This window comes from Homo sapiens, chromosome X (assembly GCF_000001405.40).
Source record: "Homo sapiens chromosome X, GRCh38.p14 Primary Assembly".
Taxonomy (NCBI): Eukaryota; Metazoa; Chordata; class Mammalia; order Primates; family Hominidae; genus Homo; species Homo sapiens.
Genome location: NC_000023.11, coordinates 319,128 through 332,224, shown reverse-complemented (window position 1 = coordinate 332,224; position 13,097 = coordinate 319,128). Strand labels below are relative to the sequence as shown.

Here is a 13,097-nt window from a genome sequence, read left to right as displayed (position 1 = left end):
GGCATCCACAGCGCTGTCCTGAGGGGCGGCAGGGACAGTGATGGCAAGACGGGCTACCCAGAATAAGGGGACCCAGCCTGGTGGGGGGGACGGGGCCCGGAGAGCCATGAGACGGGGGAGACAGAGGAGATGGAGAGGGGGAGATGGGGGAGAACTGGGGGGCCTCAGATACAGGGGATGAGGCAAAGCCGGACCCAGCCATGGCCTGCAGCCCTGAGGTCCCGGGGCGCCTCCTCGTGGGACAGGACACAGCTCCTCGAGGTGGAGCCGAGGTGACGGGGAGCAGAGGTGACGGGCACCACAGGTTCCCAGCACTGGCACCAGACCGGCACCGAGAGCCCCGCCCAGAACAAGGGGGGACCCAGCCTGCGGAGGGACGGGGTCTGGACAGCCACGAGACGGAGGAGACGGAGAAGGGAGAGATGGAGGAAATGGAGACGGGCAAGACGGAGGGGAGGGAGGAGATGGAGAAAGGGGAGTTGGGGGAGAACGGGCGGGCATCAGATGCAGGAATGAGGCAGAGCCAGACCCAGCCGCGCTCAGCAGTTCCTAGAGAAGACACGGCTCCCGGGGGAGCGGGAGGCCTTTATGACTCAGAGCCGGGGAAGGAGCAGAGGCCGGAGGTCGTCCCCAGCACGGTGCCCACGGGCCGCCCTGCCCAGGCCGAGGGGTCGGACCCCACACGGCACAGAAGCCCCGTCTGCCGCAGCCCCGAGACACACATCCTGTGGCTGACAGCGGTGCGGCCCCTGGGCCGGCGCAGACCCCACGTGGCACAGACGGCCCCGCTGGGTCTCAAGCCTGCAGACAAGGCCACGCACCCGGCAAGACGCTGCTGCGTGGCTACAGCAGAGGGGCCTCGAACCACGTTCCCCATGACCCACGGGCAGACCCTGGCACAGCAGGGATCCCTGCGCCCTGGCGCCGTGTAGAAGTCACAGCTCCCCCAGCCTTGGCTGCCGCACACGCCACTCAGAGCCTGGGGAGCAGCCGTTCGGGTCTCGGTGAAACAGCGGCCCCAGGACGTGTCTGCGCAGCTCCTAGGCGGGGGCTGCCCCGGGTCTTCCGCACGGGGGCCTGGCCGTCGGCTGCAGCCTCCCCCGGCCCCGTGTCCTCACCATGGCGTAGCTGTCTCCACCCCGGTATCAGCTCCCGCAGCAGCCCCGGCCGCCACGAGTGGGTCCTGACCACAAGGAGGGGGGTCCTGACCACAAGGCGGGGGGTCCTGCCCGCCTCTGCCCCAGAGAACAGCCCCTCTGCGGGGACAGGGCCACCCCATCTCCCTAGCGCGGCGCTGCCTGACCTCACGGAGCAGCCATGGGGGGGACGAGGCCCCGTCGGGGGGGACGACCCCAGTGGTGCAGGGATAGGAGGTCCCGCTTGGACAAGCCCCCCACAGGCCTCCCCACAACAGGGCTTCTAGGCCCCGTCTCTCAGCCCCCAACACACAGGCCCTTGCCCCGCAACCAGGACGGGCCTGAGCGGTACCTACGGCCGACAGCCCACAGGTGCGACCACAGGGGGACGCGACCACAGGGGGACGCGACCACAGGGGGACGCGACAGCCCCTCCCCCAGGTCACAGAGGCCCCCGAGCCCCCATCCTCCTCGCCAGGGCCTCGGCCCCCAGGCACTCACACAAACCTTGCAGGAGACTCAGAGAAGTGGGGCTTAGGGAGGCAGCCCCCTAGCTATAGCGATTCCAGAAAGGCAGACTCTATGCTGTGCCTGTTTTCTGTTTGTCGCCCAGGCTGGACTGCCATGGTGCGATCTCGGCTCACTGCAGCCTCTGCCTTCTGGGTTCAAGCGATTCTCCTGCCTCAGCCTCCCGCGTAGCTGGGATCACAGGCGCCCGCCACCACCACGCCCGGCTAATTTTTGTATTTTCAGTTGAGACGGGGTTTCTCCATGTTGGCCAGGATGGTCTCAAACAACTGACCTCAAGTGATCCACCCGCCTCGGCCTCCCAAAATGCTGGGATGACAGGTGTGAGCCACCGCGCCCGGCCTTTTTTTAATAGAAAACTGGGGTCCCACCAGGCACAGGGGCTCACGCCTGTCATCCCAGCACTTTGGGAGGCCGAGGCAGGCGGATCACGAGGTCAGGAGTTAGAGACCAGCCTGGCCAACATGGTGAAACCCCGTCTCTACTAAAAATACAAAAAATTAGCCGGGCGTGGTGGCGGGCGCCTGTGATCCCAGCTACTCGGGAGGCTGAGGCAGGAGAATGGCATGAACCCGGGAGGCGGAGCTTGCAGGGAGCCGAGATCACACCACTGCACTCCAGGCTGGGCGACAGAGCGAGACTCCGTCTCAAAAAATAAATAAATGTACCATGGAAACCTGCCCCGTCCTCACCTCACCCAATGTCAGAGTCAGGGACACAGGGCATAGCCCACAGGGTAGGATGACAGGATGTCCACCCAGGCCCTGACCCTCCTGACCGCCCCTCATCCAGGGGTACCCCGACCTTTTAGGACTATGACGTGCCCTGAACACCGGGGATGTGGGGTGCCCCAATCCTTTAGGACTACGGGGTACTCTAAACATGACAGCCATGGGGTGCCCTGACCCTTTAGGACTATAGGGTGCCCAGAACATGACGGCCGGAGGGTACCCCAACCTTTTAGGGCTGCGGGACACACTTCTTAAGACTACAGCTCGGCCTACAGGAGTCCAGGGGACGCCAGGCCTATGTGGGGAGGGGGCAGAGGCAGAAAAGCGATGGGGGAGGTGCGGGGCATCGGCTGTCCCTGCCCTGAAGGGACGGATGGGGCCGCCAGGTAGGCGTGCGGCCAGGACCACCCAAGGACTCAAGGGAGAGATGGGACGGGGAGAGGGGGAGGGGGGGACGGGGAGAGGGGGAGGGGGGGACGGGGAGAGGGGGAGGGGGGGACGGGGAGAGGGGGAGGGGGGGACGGGGAGAGGGGGAGGGGGGGACGGGGAGAGGGGGAGGGGGGGACGGGGAGAGGGGGAGGGGGGGACGGGGAGAGGGGGAGGGGGGGACGGGGAGAGGGGGAGGGGGGGACGGGGAGAGGGGGAGGGGGGACGGGGAGAGGGGGGACGGGGAGAGAGGGAGGGGGGACGGGGAGAGTAGGGGGGACGGGGAGAGGAGGGGGGACGGGGAGAGAGGAGGGGGGACGGGGAGAGAGGAGGGGGGACGGGGAGAGAGGAGAGGGGGACGGGGAGAGAGGAGAGGGGGACGGGGAGAGAGGGAGGGGGGCGGGGAGAGAGGGAGGGGGGCGGGGAGAGAGGAGAGGGGAGGGGGAGGGGGGAGGGGGAGAGAGGAGGAGGAGGGGGAGGGGGAGAGAGGGGGGGAGGGGGAGAGAGGAGGGGGAGGGGGGAGAGAGGAGGGGGAGGGGGGAGGGGAGAGGTGGGGCGGAGAGGGGAGGGGGGCAGGGAGGGGGGGCAGGGAGAGGGGAGGGCAGGGAGAGGGGAGGGGGGCGGGGAGGGGGGAGGGGGAGAGGGGAGGGGGGCGGGGAGGGGGGAGGGGGAGAGGGGAGGGGGACGGGGAGGGGGGGCGGGGAGAGGGGAGGGGGGATGGGGGGGCGGGGAGAGGGGAGGGGGGACGGGGAGAGAGGGAGGGGGGACGGGGAGAGAGGGAGGGGGGACGGGGAGAGGGGAGGGGGGACGGGGAGAGGGGAGGGGGGACGGGGAGAGGGGAGGGGGGACGGGGGGGCGGGGAGAGGGGAGGGGGGACGGGGAGAGAGGGAGGGGGGACGGGGAGAGAGGGAGGGGGGACGGGGAGAGAGGGAGGGGGGACGGGGAGAGAGGGAGGGGGGACGGGGAGAGGGGAGGGGGGACGGGGAGAGGGGAGGGGGGACGGGGAGAGGGGAGGGGGGACGGGGGGGCGGGGAGAGGGGAGGGGGGACGGGGAGAGAGGGAGGGGGGACGGGGAGAGAGGGAGGGGGGACGGGGAGAGGGGAGGGGGACGGGGAGAGGGGAGGGGGGCGGGGAGAGGGGAGGGGGGGCGGGGAGAGGGGAGGGGGGGCAGGGAGAGAGGAGGGGAACAGGATGGGGGGGCGGGGACAGGTGCCGGAACCAGGGTCACACGTGGAAGGCCAGGACCCTGGGTCAGGGCGGGGTGGGAAGACCCGGGGTCACACGTGGGGCGGCCTCCTGACTGCAGCGTGGCCTTCAGTCGCGCTGTCACCAGCCTGTGGGACCCCTGGGGTGCAGAGAGGGAGCCAAGCCTCGGGGGCCCAGCCCGGATGCCGCCGACTCCCACCCGCCAGCCTCGCCGAGAGCCCACTGACGTGATCACTCCACAGAGATCCCATCCCGGGGTTCCGGGGCCCGTGCAGGAGAAACGCAGGTGCAGGGCCTCGTGCCCACACCGCCGGCATCTGTGCTCCACAACCAAACTCCTAGAGCCGTCATCATCCCTGGGCTGCAGCGCTGGCCGGCGACGACTCCCCGACCACCTCGCTGGGGTCACATGTCCCCGTGGGTAGAAAATCCAGTGACGGATGTAGACAAAGAGCCCTCTGCACGCCTGGAAGCCCAGCGCCTTCGGAGGCCGAGGTGGGGGGATCACCTGAGCTCAGGAGTTTGAGACCAGCCTGGGCAACGTGGCAAAACCTCGTCTCTAGGAAAAATTTAACAATCAGACGGACACGGTGGTGCGCACCTGTGATCCCAGCTACTCGGGAGGCTGAGGCAGGAGAATGGCTTGAACCCGGGAGGCAGAGGTTGCAGTGAGCCGAGATCGCCCCATTGCACTCCAGCCTGGGGGACAGAGCAAGACCCTGTTTCAAAAAAAAACCATTTAGCCATTTGCATGATGAGGACCAAGAGAATAAAAATGAAATCTCAGCAACTCACTCTCCAATTCCTGTAGGAAAATGAAATGAGAAACATACGCATGTAAAGTATTTAGTATTTCCTGCAGTTTAAGAAATAGAATCCGGGGCCGGGGCACGGTGGCTCACGCCTGTCATCCCAGCACTTTGGGAGGCCGAGGTGGGTGGATCACCTGAGGTCAGGAGTTCGAGACCAGCCTGGCCAACATGGTGAAATCCCGTCTCTACTAAAACTACAAATACTAGCTGGGTAGTGGTGGAGCATGCCTGTAATTCTAGCTTCTCAGGAGGCTGAGGCAGTAGAATCACTTGAACCTGGGAGGCGGAGGTTGCAGTGAGCCAAGATCGTGCCATTGCACTCCAGCCTGGGTGACAGAACAAGACTTCGTCTCAAAAAAAATAAATAAAAACAATGCTCATCTTTGTACGATCTAATTGTCAGTCATTTTTATTTCCTTCTGCGTTTGCTTTCAGGAGAACTTACCACCATTTTCCTGGCCACCGTCTTCCAAAACAGACGACGGCTTCACCATATCATGAAGAGATTTTCCTCTAACACACGAGAAAAACAAACTTGCAAACTGGTTATAAAACAGCCACCCCCTTGGCCGGGTGTGGTGGCGGACGCCTGTAATCCCAGCTACTCAGGAGACTGAGGCAGGAGAATAGCTTGAACCCGGGAGGCGGAGGTTGCAGTGAGCCAAGGTTGTGCCATTGCACTCCGGCCTGGGCAACAAGAGCAAAACTCCGTCTCAAAAAAACAAAACAAAACAAAACAAAAAACAAACTTGCAAACCTATTATAAAACAGCAACCCCCTGGCTGGGCACGGGGGCTCACGCCTGTAATCCCAGCACTTTGGGAGGCCGAGGCGGGTGGATCACCTGAGTTCGGGAGTTTGAGACCAGCCTGGCCAGCACGGAAAAACCCCTATCTCTACTAAAAATACAAAATTAACCAGGCATGGTGGCAGGTGCCTATAATCCCAGCTACTCGAGAGGCTGAGGCAGGAGAATCCCTTGAACCCCGGAGGCAGAGGCTGCAGTGAGCCGAGATCTTGCCATTGCACTCCAGCCTGGGGAACAAGAGCAAAACTCCACCTCAAAAAAAAAGAAAAACAAAAACAAAAACAAACTTGCAAACCTGTTATAAAACAGCCACCCCCTTGGCCTGACGTCGTGCCTCACGCCTGTAATCCCAGCACTTTGGGAGGCTGAGGCAGGCGGATCCCTTGAGCTCAGGATTTTGAGACCAGCCTGGCCAACGTGGTAAAACGCTGTCTCTACCAAAAATACAAAAGTTAGCCAGGTGTGGTGGTGCATGTTTGTAATCCAAGCTAGCTGGAGGGCTGGGGCAGAAGGATCACTTGAACCTGGAAGGCAGAGTTTGCAGTGAGCCGAGATCGCGCCACTACACTCCAGCCTGGGCGAGCGAGCGACACTCTGTCTCAAAAAAACAGACAACGGTCACTCCCAACCAACTCACATTAAACCCTTCTCTCAAGGGCTATGGATAAACAGTTTGAATTTTAAGAACACAAGCTGCCATGAGACATTTTAAATGTTTTTGTCAGCAAAGGGCAGAAAGTTATAAAACTCAATGACAGGAAATTGCAAACATATAAGATTATAGTAGGTAAAATATCAACCCAATCTTTTTTTTTTTTTTTTGAGACAGAGTCTGGCTCTGTCACCCAGGCTGGAGTGCAGTGCTGCAATCTCAGCTCACTGCAAGCTCCGCCTCCTGGGTTCACGCCATTCTCCCGCCTCAGCCTCCTGAGCAGCTGGGACTACAGGCACCTTCCACCACACCCAGCTAATTTTTTGTATTTTTAGTAGAGACGGGGTTTCACCGAATTAGCCAGGATGGTCTCGATCTCCTGACCTCGTGATCCACCCACCTCAGCCTCCCAAAGTGCTGGGATGACAGGCGTGAGCCACCGTGCCCGGTTTTTTTTTTTTTTTAAACACTTGTGAAGGTGCACAGGTAAATGATCAGATTTTTTTTTTTTTAAGATGGAGCCTCGCCCTGTCACCCAGGCTGGAGTACAGCAGCATGGTCTCAGCTCACTGCAACCTCTGCCTCCCGGGTTCAAGCAATTCTCCCACCTCAGCCTCCAGAGCAGCTGGGATTACAGGCACCTGCCACAACGCCCCGCTAATTTTTTGTATTTTTAGTAGAGACAGGTTCTCACTATGTTGGCCAGGTTGGTCTCGAACTCCTGACCTCAGGTGATCCACCTACCTCGGCCTCCCAAAGTGCTGGGATGACAGGCATGAGCCACCGTGCCCAGCGTAGATTTATTGGATTCTAAAATGCACAATTCTCTGTGTCTGGGTGTTTCTGAAACCAAGGTCATCTCACCATCCACAGGAATCTTTAATAGCTTTTTCCCCCCAACAGTTATTACCATCCATGGTATATGAAAGTCAAGAAAACAGGAAACTCTCAAAACCAAGTTCCGAAAGCCCTGGTGCTTCTGCTAAGCTGGCTGCGGCCTCCTGTGTGTTTCGAATACCAGCCACACTGTGGCAGCCGCATCTCACCAGGCAGGCCTCCATAACGGCTTCAGTACCGACTGAGTGGCAAAGTTACATATAAAAACCTGAAAGAGGCCGGGCGCGGTGGCTCACGCCTGTCATCCCAGCACTTTGGGAGGCCGAGGTGGGCGGATCACCTGAGGTCGGGAGTTCAAGACCAGCCTGACCAACATGGAGAAACCCCGTCTCTACTAAAAATACAGAATTTAGCCAGGCATGGTGGCAGCTGCCTGTAATCCCAGCTACTCGGGAGGCTGAGGCAGGAGAATCACTTGAACCCGGGAACCCGGGAGGCAGAGGTTTCCGTGAGCTGAGATCATACCACTACAGTCCAGCCTGGGTGACAGAGCGAGACTCTGTTTCAAAAAAAAAAAAAAGAAAAGAAAAAAAAATTGTTACAGAGAAGAGGGTCTCGCTATGCTGGCCAGGCTGGTCTCGAACCCCTGAGCTGAGGCAACCCTCCTGCGCTGGTATCCCACAGTGCTGGGATGACAGGCCTGAGCCACCGCCCCCGGCCATCTATGGCTTTTTATCTCCAACGTGAGGCAAGGAAGAGGCACAGCTCAGGAGCGAGCTGAGTCGACGGCAGATGGCGCCCAGGTCCCGAGCCAGCTGTGTCTGCAATGCGGCCACCTGCACGTCCCCTCTCATCCCAGAGCTCACCCTCCGGAGCCATCATCCCCCCAACACGCAGGGCTCACCCTCCAAAGGGCCCCTGGCGGGGTCAGGGCCTGCGTGGTGGTCCGTGGACTCGCTTACCGACCCTCCTTCTGCGCGGCCTCCTGAAGCCCTTGGATGGCTTGGAGGGCACGGGGACCAGGTACTAAAGGATAATCATGGCTACACACACGTCCCTGAGCTCACCACCTGAGGACGCCCTCATTCCGTCTCTATGAACAGGGCAGACGGAACCCAGGAGCCCAGGAGATTGATGGTTACACACACACACACACACACACACAACGTCCCTGAGCTCACCACCTGGGGACGCCCTCATTCCATCCCTATGAACAGGGCAGACGGAACCCAGGAGCCCAGGAGATTGATGGTTACACACACACACACACACACACACGTCCCTGAGCTCACCACCTGGGGACGCCCTCATTCTGTCTCTATGAACAGGGCAGACGGAACCCAGGAGCCCAGGAGATTGACGGCTACACACACACACACACACACACACACACACACACACACACACAACGTCCCTGAGCTCACCACCTGGGGACGCCCTCATTCTGTCTCTATGAACAGGGCAGACGGAACCCAGGAGCCCAGGAGATTGACGGCTACACACACACACACACACACACACACACACACACACACACACACGTCCCTGAGCTCACCACCTGGGGACGCCCTCATTCCGTCTCTCAGTCTATTAACAGGGAATACTGAGCCTGGGAGACTGTCGGCTACACACACACACCCAAGCTCACCACCTGGGGACACCCAATGCTCCTCCCCCAGCACCTTCGAAGCTCTCATTCCGTCTCTCAGTCTATTAACAGGGAAGACGGAGCCCGGGAGAGGCCTCGTCCCGCGCTGCCCCGGCGAATCTGGGTCCCGATTCTGAGTTCAGTGGTGTTAGAAATAATAGGGTATGTGCCCCCTTCAGGGTGAATATAGCTAACCCCATTTACCCAGGCTGTGCACGTCACAATTCCACTCGTGGTGTAGCTGGGACCACAGGCACCCACACACCACACCCGGCTAATTTTTAAATTTTTTTTTTGTAGATATGGGTTCTTACCATGTTGCCCATGCTGGTGTCAAACTCCTGGGCTCAAGCGATCCTCCCACCTCAGCCTCCCGAGTAGCTGGGACCACAGAAGGTCCATCCCACACCCCCACCCCACCGTCAAGCTCTCGCTTTAGGGCCCAGGCTGGAGTGCAGTGGTACAATCTCAGCTCCCAGGCTGGAGTGCAGTGGTACAATCTCAGCTCACTGCAACCTCCACCTCCCAGGTTCAAGCAATTCTCCTACCTCAGCCTCTGGAGTAGCTGGGACTACAGGTGTGTGCCACCACGCCCGGCTAATTTTTGCACATTTAGTAGAGTCAGTGTTTCTCCATGTTGGCCAGGCTGGTCTCAAATGCCTGACCTCAGGTGATCCACCCACCTCGGCCTCCCAAAGTGCTGGAATGACAGGCGTGAGCCACCGTGCCTGATCTCAGACACCTTTTGGTGCTTCTTGTTTGAGATGGGGTCTCACTCTGTCACCCAGGCTGGAGCACAGTGCTGCAATCTAAGCTCACTGCAGCCTCCACCTCCTGGGCTCAGGTGATCCTCCCACCTCAGCGTCCCGAGCAGCTGGGACCACAGGCACCCACCACCACACCAGGCTAATTTTTCTTTCTTTCTTTCTTTTTTTTTTTTTTTGTAGATAATAGGGTCTTACCATATTGCCCATGCTGGCGTCAAACTCCTGGGCTCAAGCAATCCTCCCACCTCAGCGTCCCGAGCAGCTGGGACCACAGGCACCCACCACCACACCAGGCTAATTTTTCTTTCTTTTTTTTTTTTTTTTTTTTTTTTTGTAGATAATAGGGTCTTACCATATTGCCCATGCTGGCGTCAAACTCCTGGGCTCAAGCAATCCTCCCACCTCAGCGTCCCGAGCAGCTGGGACCACAGGCACCCACCACCACGCCCGGCTTTTCTTTTTTTTTTTTTTTTTTGTAGATAATGGGGTCTTACCATATTGCCCATGCTGGTGTCAAACTCCTGGGCTCAAGCAATCCTCCCACCTCAGCGTCCCGAGCAGCTGGGACCACAGGCACCCACCACCACACCAGGCTAATTTTTCTTTCTTTTTTTTTTTTTTTTTTTTTTGTAGATAATAGGGTCTTACCATATTGCCCATGCTGGCGTCAAACTCCTGGGCTCAAGCAATCCTCCCACCTCAGCGTCCCGAGCAGCTGGGACCACAGGCACCCACCACCACACCAGGCTAATTTTTCTTTCTTTTTTTTTTTTTTTTTTTTTGTAGATAATAGGGTCTTACCATATTGCCCATGCTGGTGTCAAACTCCTGGGCTCAAGCAATCCTCCCACCTCAGCGTCCCGAGCAGCTGGGACCACAGGCACCCACCACCACGCCCGGCTTTTCTTTTTTTTTTTTTTTTGTAGATAATGGGGTCTTACCATATTGCCCATGCTGGTGTCAAACTCCTGGGCTCAAGCAATCCTCCCACCTCAGCGTCCCGAGCAGCTGGGACCACAGGCACCCACCACCACGCCCGGCTTTTCTTTTTTTTTTTTTTTTGTAGATAATGGGGTCTTACCATATTGCCCATGCTGGTGTCAAACTCCTGGGCTCAAGCAATCCTCCCACCTCAGCGTCCCGAGCAGCTGGGACCACAGGCACCCACCACCACGCCCGGCTTTTCTTTTTTTTTTTTTTTTTTGTAGATAATGGGGTCTTACCATATTGCCCATGCTGGTGTCAAACTCCTGGGCTCAAGCAATCCTCCCACCTCAGCGTCCCGAGCAGCTGGGACCACAGGCACCCACCACCACGCCCGGCTAATTTTTCTTTTCTTTTTTTTTTTTTTTTTTTGTAGATAATGGGGTCTTACCATATTGCCCATGCTGGTGTCAAACTCCTGGGCTCAAGCAATCCTCCCACCTCAGCGTCCCGAGTAGCTGGGACCACAGGCACCCACCACCATGCCACACTAAAATTTTTTTTTTGGGGGGGAGGGTAGAGAAGGGGTCTTACCATGTTGCCCAGGCTGGTGTCAAACTCCTGGGCTCAAGCGATCCTCCCACCTCAGCCTCCCGACATGTAAACGGTGGCTACATTTCCGCACAATCCCCGCGGTCTCCCTCATTCTGTTTTACAACTACTCCCACATAAAGTAACGTAGAAAGACGAGCCCCGTTATTCCCTTAGAAGGTAGACTGGAGCTTGCAGGAAGCTGTAGGATAAACATTCAGAGGCCAACTGAGATAAAACGAAACACCCAGGTGATTTTAAGCTAATCAAGAGCCCCTTTCACGTGGGTGATTTTAAACTAATCAAGAGCCTCTTTCACGCAGGTGATTTTAAACTAATCACGTTCTCCCTTCACAGAACTAAAAAGGGAGGTTAATTTACACAAACGCGCAGGCTACAGCCACCCGTCCTGCCTAGGGACTTCGGGCCAAAAATGCCACCTGTCACACCTCCAATCCAGGCGCTGCAGGGCTGTTAGGAGGGGAATTAGCAGCTGGGATACCCCGATCCTACAAGGAGGGGGGTTAGCAACCCCTCCTGAAATACCAAAAAGGCCTCGGCTTCCTGCAGACGCTTAAGGAACATGCCAATCACAACCGATTTCCTGAAAAACGCAAGAAATCCTGGTGAGGGCTGGGGTTGCAGGACGCTCTGCACACCACGGGTAACAGTTTTGGGGTAGCTTCTCTGAGACCGGCTGCCTCTTACTGTCCCCTGGACCAGGGGGGCGCCGCTCTCATCCTCCTGGCATCTCCCAGGCCCCTGCCCCACTCAGAGCTCCACCGCAGGGGCTCCCGAGGCTGGACTCAGACCCGCTGGATCCCATCCAGGCCCCCAAGGCAGCAGTGGAGACCCTCAAGGCTGGACTCCAGCCCCTAATGTAGACTCAGGGACCCCTGGGATGGATGGGTTCGAACCCCCAAAGCTGACTTCAGGACCCTCAGAGCTGGACTCCACCCTCCAAGGCAGCATTCGGGACCCTCACGGCTGGACTCGAGGCCCACGGCAGACATGAAGACCCCTGGGAGGCGTCCGGGACCCCCAGGACTGAATTTGAGGCCCCCAGGCAGACGTGGGGGCCCCTGGGCGGTGGTCAGGACGCCTGGGGCTGGACCCAACCCCCAAGGCAGACGAGGAGAACCCCCGGGCGGCATCCGGGCCCCCCAGGGCTGGACTCAAGCCCCCAAGGCTAGACGTGGGGACCCACCTGGGCGGCGACCGGGACCCCCAGAGCAGGTCTCAAGCCCCAAAGGCAGACGTGGGGGCTCCTCGGCGACGTCCAGGACCCCCAGGGCTGGACTCAAGCCCCCAAGGCTAGACACGGTGACTCCGGGGTGGCGTCCGAGACTCCCACGGGGGAACTCCAGTCTCCAAGGTAGACGTGAGGACCCCCGGGCGGCATCGGGGACCCCCAGGGCGGGACTCGAGCCCCCAAGGCAGACGCGGGGATGCCGAGGCGGCGTCCAGGACCCCCAGGGCGGGACTCGGGCCCCCAAGGCAGACGCGGGGACGCCGAGGCGGCGTCCAGGACCCCCATGGCTGGACTCGAGCCCCCAAAGCAGACATGGGGACCCCCTGGGTGGCGTCCGGGACCCTGAGAGCTGGACTCGAGCCCCCAGGGCAGACGTGGGGACTCCGGGGCAGCTTCCGGGGCCCCCACGGCGGCTCTCCAGGTTCCAGGGCAGACGTGGAGACCCCTGGGCGACGTCACGGACGCCCAGGGCGGGACTCGAGCCCCCAAGGCAGACGTAGGGACCCCTGGGCGCCGTTCTCGATCCCCGGGGCTGGAGTCAAGCCCCCGAGGCGGCGTTCCGGACTCTCGCAATCAGACTTGGACTCCACCCAGCGCGGAACGGGGTAGGACGGGAGCGAGGACGAGGTGAGTGAAGGCAGCGCTGCCGCCGCCGCCGCCGCCGCCGAGGCTCGGGGTCCTGGCGCCTACCGGGCCGGCGGCTGCACCGCGGGATGGGTCTGCCAGGAGCCGCCCACGCCGAACAAGAAGCGGCCCGGTCCCGCCTCCCCCGCCGGCAG

At 60.0% G+C, this 13,097-nt stretch overlaps 1 long non-coding RNA gene across 2 annotated transcripts; it reads right to left on the bottom strand.

Moving 5' to 3' along the window:
- Positions 10,893-13,080, bottom strand: LINC00685 (long intergenic non-protein coding RNA 685). 2 transcript variants are annotated; one of them, NR_027231.1, is given in 2 exon segments: positions 10,893-12,017; positions 12,674-13,080. It is a non-coding gene; the product is annotated as a long intergenic non-protein coding RNA 685 (long non-coding RNA).